General features: G+C 39.7%; 1 protein-coding gene across 23 annotated transcripts in view; it reads right to left on the reverse strand.

Moving 5' to 3' along the window:
• RUNX1T1 (RUNX1 partner transcriptional co-repressor 1) overlaps positions 4,479-21,035 on the reverse strand; it is a 148,419-nt gene continuing 131,862 nt past the window's right edge. For 15 of the 23 annotated variants that reach the window (NM_001198633.2, NM_175634.3, NM_001395209.1 and 12 more), the window contains 2 exons: positions 20,170-20,360; positions 4,484-10,029 (listed from right to left, as the gene is read on the reverse strand). In NM_001198633.2, the coding sequence (NP_001185562.1) occupies positions 9,754-10,029; positions 20,170-20,360 (467 nt within the window). In that variant the 3' untranslated portion in view covers positions 4,484-9,753. Of the gene's footprint in view, positions 10,030-20,169; positions 20,361-21,035 lie in introns of all 23 variants that reach the window. The other 8 variants (XM_047422373.1, XM_024447318.2, XM_011517351.3 and 5 more) reach the window with 1 other exon arrangement.

Below are 21,035 nucleotides of genomic sequence, written 5' to 3' on the forward strand. Positions count from 1 at the left end.
TAACTCTCACAGTGGAAGGTAAGCCCGTCCCCTTCTTAATCAATACGGAGGCTACCCACTCCACATTACCTTCTTTTCAAGGGCCTGTTTCCCTTGCCTCCATAACTGTTGTGGGTATTGACAGCCAGGCTTCTAAACCTCTTAAAACTCCCCCCATTCTGGTGCCAACTTGGACAACACTCTTGTATGCACTCTTTTTTAGTTATCCCCACCTGCCCAGTTCCCTTATTAGGCCAAGATATTTTAACCAAATTATCTGCTTCCCTGACTATTCCTGGAGTACAGCCACATCTCATTGCCGCCCTTCTCCCCAACCCAAAGCCTCCTTTGCGTCTTCCTCTCATATCCCCCCACCTTAACCCACAAATATGGGACATCTCTACTCCTTCCCTGGCAACTGATCACATGCCCATTACCATCCCATTAAAACCTAATCACCCTTAACCCGCTCAACGCCAATATCCCATCCCACAGCATGCTTTAAAAGGATTAAAGCCTGTTATCACTGGCCTGCTACAGCATGGGCTTCTAAAACCTATAAACTCTCCTTACAATTCCCCCATTTTACCTGTCCAAAAACCGGATAAGTCTTACAGATTAGTTCAGGATCTGCGTCTTATCAACCAAATTGTTTTGCCTATCCACCCTGTGGTGCCCAACCCGTACACTCTTTTGTCCTCAATACGTTCCTCCACAACTCACTATTCTGTTCTCCATCTTAAAGATGCTTTTTTCACTATTCCCCTGCACCCCTTGTCCCAGCCTCTCTTTGCTTTCACTTAGACTGACCCTGACACCCATTAGGCTCAGCAAATTACCAAGGCTGTACTGCTGTAAAGCTTCACAGACAGCCCCCATTATTTCAATCAAGCCCAAATTTCTTCCTCATCTGTTACCTATCTCGGCATAATTCTCATAAAAACACACGTGCCTTCCCTGCCAATTGTGTCCGACTGATCTCTCAAACCCCAGCACCTTCTACAAAACAACAACTCTTTTCCTTCCTAGGCATGGTTAGCGTGGTCGGAATTCTTACACAAGAGCCAGGACCACACCCTGTAGCTTTTCTGTCCAAACAACTTGACCTTACTGTTTTAGCCTAGCCCTCATGTCTGCGTGCAGCGGCTGCTGCTGCTTTAATACTTTCAGAGGCCCTCAAAATCACAAACTTTATCAGTCCTCCAGGCCCAAGTTGACTCTTTAGCTGCAGTTGTCCTCCAAAACCGCCGAGGCCTTGACTTACTTACTGCTGAAAAAGGAGGACTCTGCATATTCTTAAATGAGGAGTGTTGTTTTTACCTAAATCAGTCTGGCCTGGTGTATGACAACATAAAAAAACTCAAGGATAGAGCCCAAAAACTTGCCAACCAAGCAAGTAATTACGCTGAACCACCTTGGGCACTCTCTAATTGGATGTCCTGGGTCCTCCCAATTCTTAGTCCTTTAATACCCATTTTTCTCCTCTTTTTATTCTGACCTTGTATCTTCCATTTAGCTTCTCAATTCATTCAAAACCGTCTCCAGGCCATCACCAATCATTCTATACGACAAATGTTTCTTCTAACATCCCCACAATATCACCCCTTACCACAAGACCTCCCTTCAGCTTAATCTTTCCCACTTTAGGTTCCCACGCCGCCCCTAATCCCACTTGAAGCAGCCCTGAGAAACATCGCCCATTCTCTCTCCATATCACCCCCCAAAAATTTTCGCCACCCCTACACTTCAACACTATTTTGTTTTATTTGTCTTATTAATATAAGAAGGCAGGAATGTCAGGCCTCTGAGCCCAGGCCAGGCCATCGCATCCCCTGTGACTTGCACGTATACATCCAGATGGCCTGAAGTAACTGAAGATCCACAAAAGAAGTAAAAACAGCCTTAACTGATGACATTCCACCATTGTGATTTGTTCCTGCTCCACCCTAACTGATCAATGTACTTTGTAATCTCCCCCACCCTTAAGAAGGTACTTTGTAGTCTCCCCCACCCTTAAGAAGGTACTTTGTAGTCTCCCCCACCCTTAAGAAGGTTCTTTGTAATTCTCCCCACCCTTGAGAATGTACTTTGTGAGATCCACCCCTGCCCACCAGAGAAAAACCCCCTTTGACTGTAATTTTCCATTACCTTCCCAAATCCTATAAAATGGCTCCACCCCTATCTCCCTTCGCTGACTCTCTTTTTGGACTCAGCCCGCCTGCACCCAGGTGAAATAAACAGCCATGTTGCTCAACAACAACAACAAAAAAAACAGATGAGGTAATTTCTTTTTTCTTTTTATTGAAACAGGGGTCTCACTCTTTTTCTCAGGCTGGGCTCAAACTCATGATTCTCCCGCCTCAGTCTCCCAAGTAGCTGAGACTACAGGCACCCACCACCGTGCCCGATCAGCCCAGGTAATTTTGAAGCCACTAAGTTGAACAGCACTGGGAAGGCATGAATTGACACTAGACTTTCCCTAAGTCTGAGGTGGGCATTGTCGTTAGAGGCCTATTTTGTTGTTAGAGTCTTATTTTGTTGTTTTTTTTTTTAGTTTTTAAAGAAAGAAACAAAAGAGAAATGGCTTTCCCTTCCAAGTCCAGAAAGCCCGTGACTCAATGTTGTGGTGAATTGCCAGGAATCATTTACACAATAACAATAATAGTGTCAGAGGGAGGTGGAAAGCAGGAACTCCCTAGGTAAATGGTATTATCGCCAAGTAATTGGGAAGTGACTGTATATCAAGGAGAGTATATGCTACTGATTTACTGGACACCAGCACATGAAGTCTTATCATGGTCATATTTTGCCCATTTTTAGCTGCAATCACACAACGTTTACATGGAACATTCCTTCCTTTTCTTTTACCTTCAATGTCTATGTTATCATCACCAATTCCTCTTAAGTGATTTGGTGGGTTAGACTGATGTGTTTGAGGAAAGTACAGTCGAATCTTTAATTATAATGTAAACTGCCTGTGTTCATCTTTTCCAGGTCAGTAGTAGGTCTGGACTGAACCTGTGTCTCCTGCACCTCAGCTGTCCCCAGGTCTGCACTGTTGGAGCAACTAAGCGGTGGCAAGTCACCACCAGACTCACTGGCATCTGGGCCACACATTGCTGTGACTTTGGTTCAGAGAGACCAAGGGGAGCAGGTATCTTGCTCTTGATTTGGGAGAAGCTTCACAGAAGGGCCTTCATGGGATTTTAAGAAGGCAAGTATGACCTGATTAAGAAAGTATTAAGATAAAAAGAGGAAAATAGGGCTGGGCATGGTGGTTCATGCCTATAATCTCAGCACTTTGGGAGGCTGGCAGTTGGAGACCAGCCTGCTTAACATAGCAAGACCCCATCTCTACAATAAATTTAAAAAATAAATCAGCCAGGTGTGGTGGTGCACACCTGTAGTCCCAGCTACTTTGGAGGCTGAGGTGGGAGGATTGCTTGAGCCTAGGAATTTGAAGCTGCAGTGAGCTATAAGAGTGTCACTGCACTCCAGGCTGGGCAAGAGAGTGAGGCCCTCTCTCTTTAAATAAATAACTTTTTAAAAAGGGAAATAGTTACAAATATAAAAAGGCCCACTATTTGTAGAGTAGATGGAGGAAAAGAGAGGGAGGAAGACCTAAAGAGAGTGAAGGAAACTCAAGGTGAACAAACCAGTGAGAAGACGGAGTGGAAATAGGAATCTGGAAGGCAGAAGAGCCCTAAGTGGTCAGGAGAGAGACCATGAGGTCCTGACTGTACCACTGTTTTCACTGTGGGCTGTTAGATGCCTAAAATATTTTCTAATGCCTCATTGGCGGCATCTTATGTGAAGAAATTAACAGAAAACTGTAACAATTAACTATATGTTTCTCACCAGTAACCATCGTCAACCACCACATAATGAACTAGACAGTTCCCTCCCCACTGTGGCATTTATACCCTCTGATATTCGTAAACAGTGGTCACCTTGCCACACCTCATCACCGTCTGATCAAGCTACATATGGTTCCATCTTCCCTTTCTGACCCCTTCCTCCAGCCTGTTAAGTCATTTTCCTCGCTTTCTCTTCCTCCAGCCAATTTGTTCATTTCTGGGTAAAATGACACCACATTATTCTAGCTGCAGACTCATGATTGTATTTACAATTAATATTTATTGAGCGCGGTTGGCTCTGTATTAGGCACTGAAAACGAACACCAGACACCAGAGCGTTAGCACAGGGAACTACAAGCGGATATTCCTTCTTTTACCTGCCCTCTGTTTTCTTCCCCTTCAAATGTTATTTTTTTTATTGTTAAGTTTGATAATCATATTGTCTTGATCTCAAGGCATTCTCATAGGCTCCCCATGTACAATCTCAAAGTTTTCAGCAAATGCTATTTGAATCTGAAAATTTCAAAAGAAAAGAACTTTGGTCCTACCTCCTTGGTTGTGTGGCTGGAGAAGTGGGATGGGAAAATACATGTCTGCATTCCTCTGTTTCCCCAGTGTGACTGAGAATAGACTGACCAAGGACATGATTAGGCAAACACAACTTTATTTATTCACCTTGGAATAAGGGTATAGACACCCATACAGAACAGCACTCCTTTGCTCATTTCTTCCCCATCCATTCCAGGGAAATAGCTCAATGTTCTTTCACGGGAGACACATACTTTTATAATGTTATCAAATACATCATCAACACTTCTAAAAAAATGGCGTCCACCACCTGGAAGTCTCATACTGTTCGCGTAAACTAAAACTGTTTCCTATTTGTCCAACATATCCACTTGAATGAAAACGTCACAGAGGTGTTTGCAAGAACTTCTTATAAGGGAACTAAGTCAACGGGTTCCATTTCTATCTGCTAGTTTCTGGCCTTTTTCACTTTGAAGAGAAAATAAGATGCAGTAACACATTAAAAATAGGCAACTTGGGTCAGGCTGGCCTTTCTTCTGTGGAAAAAAAGAGTAACTATGAAATTAAATATCCAACCCTAACTGTCCAAAGTGTGGGAGTGAGGGTGTTTCCACTATTTAAAAAAAAATCTGTTCTGATACCTAGTTTTTCCTGGTGTGCACTACCAAATTCTTGGAAAAGCTACATTTCCCAGGAAGACAAGTTAGAGAAGCCTGGCCTTGAAACAGGAACCCAGCTGGCACAAGAAGGAAACTAGAGGGCTCCAAGTCACCCTCCCATGTAACCAGCATTCACCTTCATAACCTTTCTCCAGACACGGGCTCATGCACCTGCTGTGCCATCCTTGATTTTTTGCAACGATTATTTTGGTCTATAAAGTCAGAACATTCAGAGGAAACAGGAATTTCTGCTACAACACAGTATATAAGATAATCTGTGTTTTGAAAACTACACATAAAAACTAACAGCATTCACAGGGTAGGGGAGAAGGGTTTGTTTTTCAAACTCTAACAAACTTTGTAACTAGAGAATGAAAAAATATGTGTCAGAGGAGATAACTGGATGTCCCAGCAAGTTGGAGATAGCCACAGTGGATATTAACTACATAACCAAGAGTGACAATGGTAGCGACTTTTAATTAGAGGAGAGGGGACAAGGCAGATAGAGCAGTTCCATGTCATGTCAGCTGATCTGCCATTCGGGTATGCACAAGGCAGCCAAGCAACCTGACAAGAGTCAGAGCCTCATGAGGTTGGCACGAACCTCTCTGAGCAGAGTGATCCAGATTTAGGTACTCATTTCTAATTTTATCAAAACACAGCCAAAAGGGCCTCTGCTATCTATGCAGCAGCTAATCTAGGCAAGCCAAGCTCTCCTTTCCTATGGAAGGTAGTAATTCTCCTCCCACTCTTCCTACTCCTCCTGCCTGAGAAACATCCCCTTATGAATGAGCTCGACTTTTGCAAAGTTCTGACATCATTCCCTACTCAACACGCATGGATAAGCCAACTCCTGTTACAGAGCCACGCTTTGTAGCTGAATAAACTCTACAGATTTGATTCAGCACCATGGAGGATGGACTCCTCAGGCTGGGGTCACTGGTGGGCAACCATGGCACACCGGGGACGAGGGAGACAGAGGATCCAGATTTTTTTCAACTTTTTTATTACACAGTAAAGAATACAACAATACCTGAATCATACTTTAAAGATTCACAGGTTGACAGACCATACATTACAGTCCAACTAAGGAAAAAAGGATAAACAAGAAACCACAGTTCAGACATAGTAGACTTAAAAGCTCAAGAGTATGCTGACAAAAGCATGATGCCTAGACCCCACCCCCCAGTGTTAGTCTACCATTAACTTGTGGTACATGTCTGAATTAAGTATTGCACAACAACTTTAATTTTTCACAATGTCGCAGAACCCAAAATAATATTTTAAAAAAATTACTTCAAATCTGCATTTCAACAGTCTCCAATTTTTTTTCTGTCCCTTGAGGAATTCGGACAACATGGAGTCGCTTTCTTTCCCTAAGTATTCCAGACGTAGGCATGCTTTGCATAAGTAAACCAGCCTTGAAATTTTTAAATCCCCAAGACATGCACCTACACATAAAAAAAAAAAAAATTTAAGAAAAAAAAAAGACAGGTGGCCCTGTCACACACAGTCTCATGACAGAGAAAAAGAGAAAGAGAAAAGAGTAAGAGACAGAGATAAGAGCTAGAGGACGCCCTATTCCTATCAGCGACCACCATTCAATTCTATCCAATGAAGATAACTTTTTCTTAATGTGTTATACCTACAAATTATATTCTCACATAGCCTGTATATAAGTGACAAGCAAAAAAGGAAAGTAACAAAAGTTTTCTTTTCTTTCTCTTCTTTAGGTTTATGAGGTCTGCATTGTTACCAAGAAGTGATATGGTTTGCAGCTGTATGAGCTTAACTTTTGGTATCCTGGTTCTTTTGTGCCCATTTGGTTTGACTAGACCAGTTTTTGTTAGCTACTGGTGCAATATACATGCTGTCAGAGGTAGAGTGAAACTTTTTGCCACTGAGGAGAATGTAGCAAAACAGGAGGAGAGGAAGAGGAGGAAGAGGGGAAGGAGGAAGAGGAATCAGAGATAGAGCTCAGAGTTAGGGATTTTTTTTTGTATTTGTTTTCACTCAGGGTGCCCTGAATTAAAAAGTAATGAGACGTACTGTACTAATCCTTATTTTACACACTAGTGTTAAGAATAACAGTGCTGTTTCACATACATCACAGCTTCTAGAGATAAAGACGTGTGGGTATGACATACCTCATTTTTGGGATTATTTAACCCTTCGTAGCCTAGAACATATAATAGCTCTGTAAGAAAGGACTGTCCAGTGTCACAAGCAGACTAGAAAGCAGAGTGAGGTCAAAGGATTCTGGGAGCACCATGATAAAATATAACCCATTCAGAGCCTGGTTATGTGCTTTCATTTCACTTTAAGCAGGTGTGCTGGCAGATGGACTTCCAACATGTAGATAGATGTATTTATTTGCTCATCAGAACTTTCTAAACTAAAAAGTCATTTAAAAAAAATAACACCACCCAAACAAAATTAAAACCAACTTGTATATGAAAATACAGGGAAGAAATGCTTTTAAAAATGTTAGATTTAAGAGACTTAAAGCAAACCTTAGGATTGCCTCTATGCAGATACTTAAAAGCCACTTAAAACTGTTTCCAAGGCCTACATTTAACCCTCCCCCCACCCCCCGCCCCAAAGCTAATGGATTGTTTTTGATTTTAAAGAAATGCCTGGTGTATATGTATTTGGAGAAGTGTCTTCCCAGCCTTGTAAACTTTGGTTGTCTACACAGCCTGCAGCACTGCTGACTTTCCTAAAGCACACAACCACATCCTGGGCTACTGTTTTCAAAACTAACAAGTAGTTCTGGTCTGGACCCTGGACAACGAAGGGTTAATGGATTCATACTATACCTTGCTGAACATGTTTAACCTGCTGATCATTTGGAAAGTAGTACTGGTGCTTTTCAAAATTCCGATTTTGGTCCATCAGATCAGTCTTTGGCTGACTTCCCTTTTTGTAAGAATACTGTATAACCTGGCATTCAGCAGTGTTAAAGCTGTCAATCTACACCTCAGCATTTGGAGCTCTAATGATTTTTACTTTTGTAAAATTAGAAATACTTAAACGACCTTACAGCAATATGCATGCACTGTCCTTTTTTTTTAAAGTAGGATATCTTGTTATTTTATTTTTTTAAAAAAGTCCCTAATAATGATTTAAAAAAAAAAAAAAGAAAAATTCCACGACTACTCTATGCTACAGCTAAACTTGATGAAATGGCTCTAGCATATTTAAAAAGAATTTGCTCAAAAAAAAAAAAAAAAAAACAAAAAGCATGCCTAGGGAGTCATTGTGACAGTGCAAAATACATTTATGTACATCCCTCTTACAAAAACACCAATATGTTAGCATTCCGTGAAGCATGCTGGTTTTCAGGAAAAAAAAAAATCCTATAAGAGAGTGAAATAGCAGCTCCGAAAGATAGCTTTTCTTCTTTTCTTTTCTTGAGGACAACCAAAAAGAGTCTTTTTTTCCTTTTTTTTTTTTTAACTACTAGAGAAATATCACTAATACATACAGATATAAAAGCAGCATAGAAAGATACAGGTTTCTCACCAACTAGGAATAAAGAGACTAAATGTGGGCATATGGTTAAACTACAATGCATCTTCACATTTGTCCAACACATTTACAAGAAAAACACCATTGGGAAACCTCACAGGACAGAAGTGTTTTAACACCAAGAGAACTACTAGTTTTTAATTAAAAATCCAAACAGGGTGGGGTTGAAAAATTTTGGAAAGGGGCTGGAGCTGAAGCCACCATTTTTAAAATTATTTTTTTCAATATAAAATGAATGAGCTGGAATAGACCCAATGTCTTACTCTGTGGAACCTTGCAAAAGTGAAGAAACGTTGAAGGGTTATTTAGGGCAGCTGGCTGATGTCAAAACTGCCAGAATGCTAATTAACTGCAGGCTGAGTCTCTTACTTGTGTGTGTGTGTGTGTGTGTGTGTGTGTGTGTGTGTGTGTGTGTGTGTGTGTGTATATGTGCGTGTGTGTGTGTGTATATATATATATATATATATATATATGGAGCCTTTTGTATTATGGCATTTTTTTTTCTTGCTGCTGTATTCATACATCCCATTGCAAATCATCTTTCATTTTTCATTCTGTTGACCTGGATATTATTATTTCTTTTCAGAAACAGGAAAAAAACCGAACATCTGTGTCTCCTTCCAATCTGCTGCACATCTGCGCGTTTTGTAGCGGGTCTTCAAAGTTCAGTTAGCAACCCACGGACGCCATTCATCTTCTTGTTAAAATGTCTACTGCTGTATCCAATGCTCATGCCCTTGAGGGTTTTCCTCTTTTTTTTTTTTCCATTATTGTATATAAAGAACATTGTGACTTTTAATATTAGCATTTTTGCTTTCAACAGCAATTAGCAATCTCTTGGTTTGCTGTTTGGTAAAGCATCGGTTAATGAGGTCATCTAGTTTAAAATCCCAGCTACTTGAAAATAACAGGGAGGAGGTCAAATCTATCATTTCATGTTATATTCTCTGCTCTCTTTTCAGTTCTCTAAAGAAAAGATATCTTTGTTATCCACAATAAGTCATTACGACCCGTTACTGGCCCTCTGTGTTTTACTACCACCTCAAGATACAGTTAGGTTCTCTCTTGCTGAAGTACTGAAATAGGATAATTCATCTAATAAACAAACAAACAAAAAAAACAACTTTGAGCATCTGAGGATGAGGAATTGGTTTCGCGTTGGTTGTGTTGTCTTTCCTCCGACAGTTCTGAGTTCACGTCTAGCGAGGGGTTGTCTCTATGGTGGAAGGGGTTCCCGGGGTGGTTGACCTCGGAGTGGCTGCTGGTGGTGTGTCCATCGGGCTCCCAGCCCCGCTGTTGGGCGTGACAGAGGAGCTGACTGCAGGTGTGTCTCCCTGCTGCTGGGCCTGCAGGGTCTGTCCACAGATGTGATGGTGCTTCTCCCAGTCTTTGTGCTGGCAAAATGAGCCACAGTATCGGGCTGTGTTACAGCCACTGCAGGTTTCACTCGCTTTACGGCCACAATTCCAGCAACTCTAAAGGAGAAGGCAGAAGAAAGCAAGATCCCAAGTTAATACACTGTTAAGACAATAGTCTGACAAATATGTTAGGCATCACTGTAGCCTTATTTTCAAGAACTATACAGTCAGGATGAAAAATCCAGGTGTTCACGTATGGATACAAACACTAAACACAGAAGATGCAGGTTTTGATGGGATGGTTGTCCAAACTGCTCTGCCAACAACTACTATGGCATCTGACAAAGCAGTTGAAGACTTTTTAAGTTCTTACTATAACATCCTTTCTTTTTAGGTTTGGTTATCTTTGTATGTAAATTCTCCCTTCACTCATACTGACTAGCAATTACTATTTCCAAATCTTTTCCCAATACCTATACCACAATAGTCAGACACAGAGATATATCTGAGCAGAAGCTTCTTCCTTTTAGATACCAAAAGGAATCACAAAGAAACTACCAGAACCATATCTATATTGGATTCAAATAAATATAATAGAGTAGATAAGGGATTCTATTCCCTGCTCCTTCAGACTAGACAAGGTGAGGCAAAGTCCTTTAACCTCTCTATGTCTTTAGTTCTTTCAGTGCATCCATTCAGTGAACCTTACAACCAAATGCTAGGACTGTGTTAAAACAACCCCCTTTACCTCAGCTCCCTGGAGGACAGGATCCTCAGTTTGTTTTTTCTCCCTGTATCTGAAGCACCCAGAATGGGTGCCTGATAGATAGAAGTGTTCAATAAATATTTGTGAAATGAATGAATTAGACTACGCCTTATTTGGCTTTGAGAAATGAGAAATGCTAAAACCAGCCAAATAACAATTCTATTTGCACACAGTTCTTTCCAGCCAACGGAGCTGCTCTGCTGCTCCTGTGTGCCTCAGCAACTCTGGGAAGTCAGAAAAGCAGAGGGAACTGGGGCTCATTTGGGAGTGATGAGAACAAAACTCAAACCCTAGTAAGTTCACTGCCAGTTGTGGGCAGTGTTTTGCAAGACATGAGAAAAGTGGGACTGAGGCTGCCACCAGGATTTAAACTTTAAGATAAATGCATCACGAATTAGAGCACAAACATACCAGAGACAGAAGAGCACCTTTTGGGGACAGGCCCTAAGCAGGCAAGGAGGAATGAGGAAGAAACTAACCTTCAGGGATCCTCCTATGAGTGTGGTGGGGAGGGGGACCTCACAAAGCTGACTTTAAATGTTTAAATGTTCCTAGTTTCTTTGGCAAGACCGATCCCATTATGCAAAACTGTAGTAAGTAATCTTAGCTTTATGTCATTCAACTTTTTATTCTTTAACTTCATTGGTTTTGATTATGTCCTTGAAAAACAAACTTCTGACTACAATCTGGTAACCCCAAACAGCTGACGCTATGTGCTTGTGTGATAAGAAAGATTTTTAAAGCCCTGACATAGGTATTCACAGGTCTCCCTACTGTGTTCTCTACATTTGCTTTGCTTCCAGCATGCTGGTTGTGTGGCTTAAGGTAAGCTCATGAGCTGCTGACAATACTATACTCCTAGGAAACGTCAGCCCATCACCCTGTGTATGGCTTTACCACTGTGCAAAACGTGCAAGGGAATTTTTAGCAGCCATCCTAACATTGTTAACAAATAAATGGGCTCCCAGAGGCTGGCATGTGCTGAAAGCCTTTGAACTCAAGAACTCCAATTTAAAACTTTTAGAAAGAGCCCAGCTCCACGTTCTTATTTCTTTAACCATCAGACATTGCTATGTTGAGCAGAAAAGCTCAAACAAAAAACAGAAATAAAAAAGAAATTACAATCCAACACGGAAAAACAAAACAAAAACAAAACAAAAACTTAAAATCTCAAACTCTGGCCAATGACAGGTGTTTTAAGTGACTATTGCTGAGGAAATCTAGAAACTTGGTTGATATGTCAAAAAATGTCATAAGTTAAAATTTGAATGAATAGTAGTAGAACAAAACAATTTTTTCCTACTTCAATTAATTTAAGAAACTATCTCAAAAGATGTGAAGCTCTGATCGCAAGTCTCATTACCATAACAAGAAGCCTTTCTCTCTCAAAATTAATTCAACTGCATTGCATGTACAATGGTTCCACAAAGACGTGAGCAAACGTGGGCCTGGCCCACCCTTCAAAGCTGTGAGGTATAATACTCAGTGCTCAGAGTGAAGTTAACTTCCTTGAGGTTTAGGCTTTTAGAATAATGCCAGCTGGATCCTGGAACAAACTCAGCAAATAAGCTATATTCCTAAATTACATCAGAATATTCCAATTAGAGAACAGAGACTCACATCCAAAACAATATTTTAAGGAAATTAAACATCTAATCTGAGTCAAGTGGCTTCTTTAGGAAATACCCTGGTGTGAGTCCTATCCGTTTTTTGGCAGAGGCACGTTTTGGCAGACACAGGGTGGTAACTGTCCAATACTCAATGGCTCCTTCAGATTGAAATCAGATGTATGCAACATTCTCAATTTAAACTGATTAAACACACAGACTAAACCAGGTAATTACAGATGCATGTGCTGGGAAGTGGAAAGGGAGACAGAATGGGGGCTTCTTTATTTTTTAAAGTGTTTTCAAAGATGGGAACAATTTTACAAATAAAAAAGTGGAATTGTGCCAAATACAGAAACAGATGTTTTGGATCGTGAAGCTGCTGGGAATTGAGCCTTCTTGCATAGTATTGTCTGGTTCTGATCCAGGAGTTAAGGGGTCTGGCTAGTTTTACCTCTAGTTTCATTCTCAAGTTGTTTGATACTATTCATTTACCACCCACCACTGGGACAAAAGAAAAAACAACCTTCAGCTGTAGGAAGTTACAAAAAGAGCAATTTTAATGATCTGGTTAAAAAAAAATCTGCAAATTTTTATTTCTCTTGACATTGCATTGCAGTGAATGTGTAGGGAACTTTAGTGAGTGTTCAACTAACAAACGCTCCAATGCGCATATTCATTCTTAAAAGCTCATTAGAAAACTGAAAGAGCAATTTCTATTAATATATTTCTCTTGGATGCTCTAGTGAATTTACTGTTGGCTAATCCATACCTGCAAGACTGATGCCTGATCAGTGGCACTCAGCCCCTGAATAGTCACAATTCTGGAAACAGCGGAAGGTGCAGAATCTTTTGAGTACTCCAATTTGGATCATTCTAAGCTTTCTACTGTTCACAAAGGTGGAAATTGCAAACTGTGTCTAACAGCCACGTGTCTATCCACAAGGGCTGGGATAAAGGCAGTCAATGGCTTAATCTAATTTTACATTTTGCAGTTTGTGCATTTTATATTCAAGATACTATTTCCTGATAATTGTTTTATTTATTTATTTTTAAATGACTGAGCTTCCCTTTCAGGCCTCTAAGGAGTGATGTCACTGAAATTACCATAATAGTGTAGAAAGCTCACGGATATCCATATCACAGCAAATTTCATTCCCAAAGCTCATGGCACTTTATAGTATTCCTTTATTTGTGATAATGTTATTCCCTTTTTGGCATAAAGAATATTTTCCTCCCTATCTGAAAAGTAAGAATAAGTCAATTGACCAAAGTTAGGTTGTGACTCAGATGAAGAATTTGTGGCTGAACACGAACCTCCCCTTTGCTAAATATACTAAATACAAGGCTATATACAGAATCAATGGACTGAAGCTTTTGAATGCCAACACTGCATACTGAAGGTATTCGACACTTTGTTTCAAATCAGCATTTCTCTTTGTCCCTAAGAAAAACATTTAGAGAATGATCTTTCTGTCGTACAGGCATATATCCCTTCTGGTTCTTACTGCAGAAAAATCTTTTTCTGAAGGACAAAATATCTTTTATTTTGTCTCTGAACTGCTTTAAGTCTCTCCAGGTCTTACATATCTATAATTCTTCAGAAAAACTTGCACAAAATCGATGTGTAATAAATTTAAATATAATAGAATGATTGTAATTGAAACTCCTCAAATGTTAAGAATCCTACAGAAGGCAACACATTGACTTAAATTCACATTAAGATTGCATCATCATCTACTTGCATTGCACTTGACAATTTAAAATCATTTTCACATGATTGCAGTTTCAGAAACTGGGACCCTCAAAATAAATAATTTTCACAGTAAAAGGCTTGCCCCAAGTCACAAAAATATAAAATTACATAGCCAAAGTTTGATTCACCCAGATGTTTGGATTACAAATTAAAAATATTCTTTCTAAAATGCCACACTTTGTCAACTTCAGATCTTTTATTAGCTCTCATTGTGGCAAGAACAGGTTAGCAGGCACTTAACTCCCAAAAATGGACAGAAATTGAACCATAAAGTCAGAGGCAGCAAAGACAAGGTGTCAGAGTGTGTAATGAAAATGGCACAGGCTTCAAAAGCCAGGCCAACTTCATTTCATTTCCAACTTCATCACTTTGTGGCTTTAGAACCACAAGCCACTTACTTAACCCTTGGAGCAACAGAACATGTAAAGCAGGAATAATAACTGCAGGATTATTCAGGGTTATGTCAGTGCTAAGCACAGTGCATGATGTTCATAGGTCCTGAATAAATGGCAGGTACTACCACCACTCCCTCCTTTTGGTACTGACTGGAAGAAAGAGAGAGTAGATACAGTCCTTGCTCCAGATCCAGCACCTTACAACCTTTAGAATTAGAAGGCTGATGGTCCCATTCAAATTAAGTGCTATCACCCATGGGCACTGACAGCTACAGGAGAAGAACATTAACTTACTTCTCCTCATACTTCATTAGTGACTAATAATTTCTTCCGCAACTTCATTTGCTGTCCTCAAAATTTCTGAAGATTTACCATTGCTGATTACTTCCCCGTTCTTCCTTATTAAATGCCTCTTGTTGAAATTTCCCCTACTAAAATTCTCTTTCTTATACAATAACTTCTTCTGCTGTTTGTTCTTTTCCCTGTAGTTGACAGTGAGGGAGGGAGGGATGCTGGCATAAAGAAAAGGAATATCTTTTCCTTCTCATGCTGCCCCTTGTGAGATCTTGTGGTTTCAATGATCAGCTGTAAGCAAATTACTCTCAAACCTGTTTCTCCTTGTTATCTTCTTCCTGAGCTTTGTGCTCCTATTTCAACTGCCTGTTCTGTAGGTACCTCCACCAGGATGCTCCTCTAAGTCAGTATTCCCTAAACCCAACTCTGGTGGGTCCATTTCAGTCTTTGGCAACACTCATGCCCAAGACTTTGTCACTTTATTGCAAACCCCTCTTTCTTTAGCCCCTGGAACCATTCAGTGCCAAACCCCACAGACTACTTCTGTGGTCTCTCTCCTTTTCAATCGCATAGTCACTACTCTAATTCTCTCGCCACCCTTCCTGTTAGGATCATTTCTTAACTGTTTTTCTTCTCCGTTTTCCTCTTTCGTTCTTACATAGACACACTGCTCATTTGTAAGGTGACTTTTCTTTTAATAAAATACTTCTCCTCATCTCATTGGCACCTCTCCACCACCTTGCAAAGCAGGCAGATCACAGAAACGTTATCCCAAATTTTGCAGATGAGAAAACCAAAGCTTCAAGAGGTGAGCAACCAAAGGTCAATCCTAGCCCAGTGCCCTGTCTACTATACCATGAACATCTACGGAATCAAACAGCTGGCATATATATATATATTTATAAAATATATATATATAATTGTACATATTGTATATTGTATAACTATATATATATATATATGTAACATAGCATCATAGCTCATGCTCTGAGAGCTCCAAATTTTTCTGGGAATCAACTGGTCTGATGAGATTGTGAAGGCTTTGACAGGACCCATGCTGTGAGGTCCCTATGTTTTATTCAGAGTCTACACAGGTGGCATTTCCAGTTTGGGCCAAACTTCACAGATTCCACTGAGGTTGGTATAACTGTGCAGCTCTGCACCTATATAAGAATGATAAATAAAGGCTGTTTTAATCTGGGGGAAAAACATCACTTTGGTAGTTTAAAACTCTAAACTATTAGAACAATAAAAGTATTTATCTGTTTCTGTGCTCACTTGCAGTTTCTTGCTTCAATCACCTAAGCTAGTATAAGGTATGGATCTCAAAGAAAGCTGTAGAAGTTTCCTTGGAAATAGCTGCAATCTGAGAGCATTCATTGGAAAAAGCTTTATCTGTACACAGATAGGAAATGAAAAATAGAAATAAATATGGAGAAAATAAAAGAATTTAAGATGATCAGATTCAGTAAATTTCTGATTTATGCTAATGTTGGCATTATATTCTGGGTTAAATATATAATCCACTGGGAAAAGAGAAAGTACAGTAAGCATCACATTGCTTAGATATCTGCCGCAAGTCCAGTGTCATTCTAACTGATAGTAATACCAACTATCAGCCTATAAATCCAAGTAAAGTTTGAGAACTAGGTAGAAATAATCATGAAGTCCAGTGAAAAATAGATACAGTACACAATTAGGAAAAAACAAACAAACAAACAAACAAAAACCTCCCACTCCTGCCATGTAGCTACTAAGAAGGTGGCCTGAAAGTCGGGCTACCTGAACTAAGGACCAGCTCACACTTACTGACCATGAGACACTGAGCAAGTGGCCTAATCCCTTCAAGGCACAGCTTTTTATCAGTAAAATGAGGAAAGTAACACTACCTACTTTGTCAGAGCCGATGTGAGAAGTAAACGAGCTAAAGTATAGAAAGCACTTCATACCATGCCTGGTTCAGAGTTAAACACTCATCGTAGGTCGTCTTATTTCATCTCAGGCAAAACAAACTTCATGCAACCTCCGATAACTTGGCTGACTGTGGGTTCCCATGAGCCTGGGATGGCCTGGTTTACCGGACTGGTCTGTCTAAGCAAGAGCAGTCTTTCTTACTCCAAAAGGCATCCCAGTTTGGATGATAAATTTTACACGCCCCCCTCCCCCGCCCACCTACAAATAATATCCATGAGTTATTCATTCCTGCCTCCAAGCCTTCTTTCTGCTGGTCTCCCCAGTCAAATGTTCTCAACTCCTCTCCTCCTTCTGAAACATTTCCACTGCCAATCTTTCAGAACCACTGTTTTTTCTAAGCAGAATGAGCATCATTAGCTCCGTTTTATACATGTGAAAGAAAACTGAGATAGGAAGAGAAAGGGCAAATTCAGAAATTACAGAGAGAAGAATTCAGAGGTATCTAGAGTTAACACAAATAGCGCAGAAGAAACATAAATGGCCAAGCTAGGCCTAGAACTCTGGTCTTCTGATCGCGAATCTTAGATTCCTTCTTACAATCCCTATGAAGGAAAGAGAATAATAATGTGTGTATCTTACCACATATACGTTGTTTTAGATTTGGATTATATAGTTCATACCTGACCTAGGTAAGAGATGGGCAGATGTTTACAATAGGTGGTGGCTTCAAATAAAGAAAGGGAAAGGGAGGAAAGAATATTGTTTCAGTAGGAATACTTTAGTAAATACTGTGATTTTTTAAAAACTGTGGGAAATATGAGCAGATAATAATATATTGTGTTATAGCTTTCAAAAACACTATTTTAAAAATCTTTTAAACAACCTTGTAAGGTAAATGAATATCGTCCCATTCCTTAAGAAGAAATGGAGGCTGACAGGAATAAAATGAATTGCCGAAGGACCTCTGAGACAGTAACTGAGCTGGGGCCATAATTCAGGACTTCTGGGTCCTCCTCTCAGATACTTTCTGCCACACGTATCTGCCTCCGAGCTGTGCTAGCAGAAGACGATCATCTGATCAGATGAACATGGCCTTTAAGAGGTGGGACCATTCAACTTATCAATGAAGACAGGACACCTGACAGTGGAAGGGGGCGCTCGTAATAATTATATTGGGACACTAGGTGTCAATGGACAGCTCCACCCAAAGTGGGAGGTGTGGTTGCCCTGCACCCTAGGTTACAGTGCACTCTCCGGTAAGTTTTGCACATTAAACTTCTAAGAAATGAGAACATTCATTTTTCTTAGAAAACAGAACAATCCATAAAATACTTAAAGCACAAGGCAATATGGGCCTTATTGGGCGTAAAGAGATCTTTTTTTCCATCTTTCTTTCTTCTATTCTTGGGAAATTATTTACAGCATTTTTGGAGAAAAGAGGCTTAATCCTTCTAGAGATGATTCCTCCCCAAGTCTTAAAAGTGGTCCTTGCACTTTAAAGAATAAGAAAACAGACCTAAGCTGCCTGTCTTTATCTGCATACAAAAATTATCTTAATGATCCCTATGAAAAGATCCTTATTTCATTGTTACAAAACAACATAGGGACTGAAAGCATGCTGTGAGATCCTGTTGAGGCTCTGCCATTTCCTAGCTGTGTAACTTTAGCCAGGTAAGTTTCCTCATCCATAGCATGACTCAAGGTTCAAGCCATATACTAGACACTTCCACTCTTCTTCAGATCATGATAAAATTGAAGCTTTTACAGGTTCAGTGGTTTTCTCAAAAATCAAAGAATTGTAAGAATTGGAGCCAGGAATTAAGTTTGACCCTCTGAATTCCAAACCCTTTCCTCTACCATGGTCTGCTTTAAAATTCTTGGGGAAGTGTCACTGAAGACACTGGTAATGCTATATTAAAGATCAGTTCCCCCAAGAGGTCAAAAAAAAAAAGAAAAACAATTATTACAGAAGATCATTCTTACATTAGTAGTAGATATGACTGAATAACCTATCACAGATACTGTTTAACAGGGTTTATTTATAATGCTAAATATTGGTGTCAAGATCACATATTTTCTAAATAGGTTTTAGGAATAAAGACACAAAGCTTATAAATACTGAAGGAATACAGCATGTTACTGCCTGAGTACAAAGACTTAATTGACAATTTCTTCCTAGACATCTGTCTTTAGAATTTGGTGACCTAAAAAGTACTCTTAACATACCTAACAGCCCTAAAATGTTCATGTGAAAGTGACAGTTTTAATGATATGACATCAACTGTGCCTCACGATATTGCTCATTTGAACAGAGAAGGACAAATTCTCCTCAAAAGATGCTAATAATGTTTTTAAAATAAAAAACATAAAGTCCTTATATCTTAGCCACAAGATACCAATAAAACTGAATTTATGTCTAGTTTAATTGAACAATGGAAAAGTCAGCAGTTAAAGGGCAGATAAACTTCCCTTTGTCCCTCTTTTCCTGAGAAACTTTCAAATGTTGAAAATCAATTCCTTTTGTCCCCTTGTTATTCATCTGCTACACATTAAATAGAAACTCTGGGCATTGAGAGATTCCTGCAGAGTCTTTCATCTACAGAAAAGCCTGGTACAAATTAAATACTTACTCTCCCTCACAAATTATAGATATGTATTGTAGTAGACCATTGATTTATCAGTCCATGCCATTGTGAGTTCGGCTTGGTGAGAGCAGCCCATTGTAGTCCTTTATCTAAAGTTACTCTGGGGTTAAGGATCGTGATGCTATATTAATTAACGTGGAGCATTACTATTCTGCTGATTTTGCAGGCAATATTTTAAAAATCATGTTGTTAGATATTGTGTTTTAGTTACTTTGCAGATCTTTGAGCCATTTAGGCTAGCTGTGTGTGTGTGTGTGTGTGTGTGTTGTGTGTGTGTGTGTGAGAATTATTATACTGGAACAATAATATATGTAACATTACCTCTAGCAGCAATGTTATGCTATGAAATGACCATCATATGGGTTACCACAAATAATGTGGAAGTACAGACTGTCTCTAAGATCTCTTAGAAATATTCAGTTGATGCAAACATTGTTTTAGCATTGGACTTTAGGACCAATAGCTAAGGCAGTGATTTCAATCCCAAGCCTGCCAGATGGCTTTGGAGACCACAGCTTACACAGTATCTATTAAATCCCTTCAATTGGAAAGCAAGCATACACATATGCACATGCACACATACACAACAGACACACACAGCCAAGCTATGAGTCTCTAAATAATGCTGCGAAGTTATAAGAATTTCACTTTGATCGGTAACCTACCAAACATTCAAAACCTTTTTTGGCAAAGATTAGGTGTTCAATAAAAAGACAAATGTGATCAGCTCTTGGCAAATTTCATGAATACCTTGACTTTCCCCACACTGTTCTAAATTTTTTTCCAAATATTTATCTAAAGTGATCACCTTGAATGAAGAATGAGCACTCTAATGAATGAAAACTATCTTGTTTATTTGGAGCTTCCCAAGATGCCTCACCTCGCTTGAATCCTCCTGCTGATTGATAACTGCCAGTGCGTCCTCCGCCGCCTGCCGTTTGGCCTCGGCGACCGTGCGCTCCATCTTGGCCCTCTCTGTTGTGATCATGTCGTGGGCTTTCCGCTCCGCCTCAGACACGGCCTTCTGCAGCTCCGTCATCGCCTGGCGCTTCACCTCATTGACGGCCTCCTCTGTGTGCCAGTCAGGCCAAACCAGACAAGAAAACACCTCTCAGTTAGCCGAAGTCATTGGATACGGATTACTTTTCTTTTAATTTTTTTTTTCTTTCCGAGGCTGGTCTCGAACCCCTGGGCTCAAGTTATCCTCTGCATCAATTTCCCCTAGCAGCTGGAATTACAGGAGCCTTCCAGCCACCATGCCCACTATCTGATTACTTTTTTGTAGAATTCTATAGAAGAAGCATGACTCTCATCCAAATTATTGGGCAGTTCCAGCAGTCTAAAAACTAGCAGATCTTTTGACATACATTTAGGAAAACAAAGGGTGAAAATGTTTCTTTAACTTGAATTTATGGAAATATTTTTTGAAACTCCTATATCATTATTATAATTTTTTTAACCAAACTAATGCCTCCAGAAATGATTCTGAGACCAGATAAGAAGTTAAAGGACAAGGTCATTCGCAAGAAACCTGTCTGAATAATTCAGACACATAAAGTCAGTTTTCCACAATGCTATAAGTTAACATGAATATAGGAGGGTCCACAGGTCAAGAGTTCAGAAAAAAAAGAGAGGCCGAGAATGGATTTTACACATAAACAAATAAGTGCAAACTATTAGTTGCTGGCATAATCTACAACACAATAGTGAAAAGGTAACTCAGATAGCAATTAAGTTACTATAGAC

This window comes from Homo sapiens, chromosome 8 (assembly GCF_000001405.40).
Source record: "Homo sapiens chromosome 8, GRCh38.p14 Primary Assembly".
In the NCBI taxonomy this organism is placed as follows: domain Eukaryota; kingdom Metazoa; phylum Chordata; class Mammalia; order Primates; family Hominidae; genus Homo; species Homo sapiens.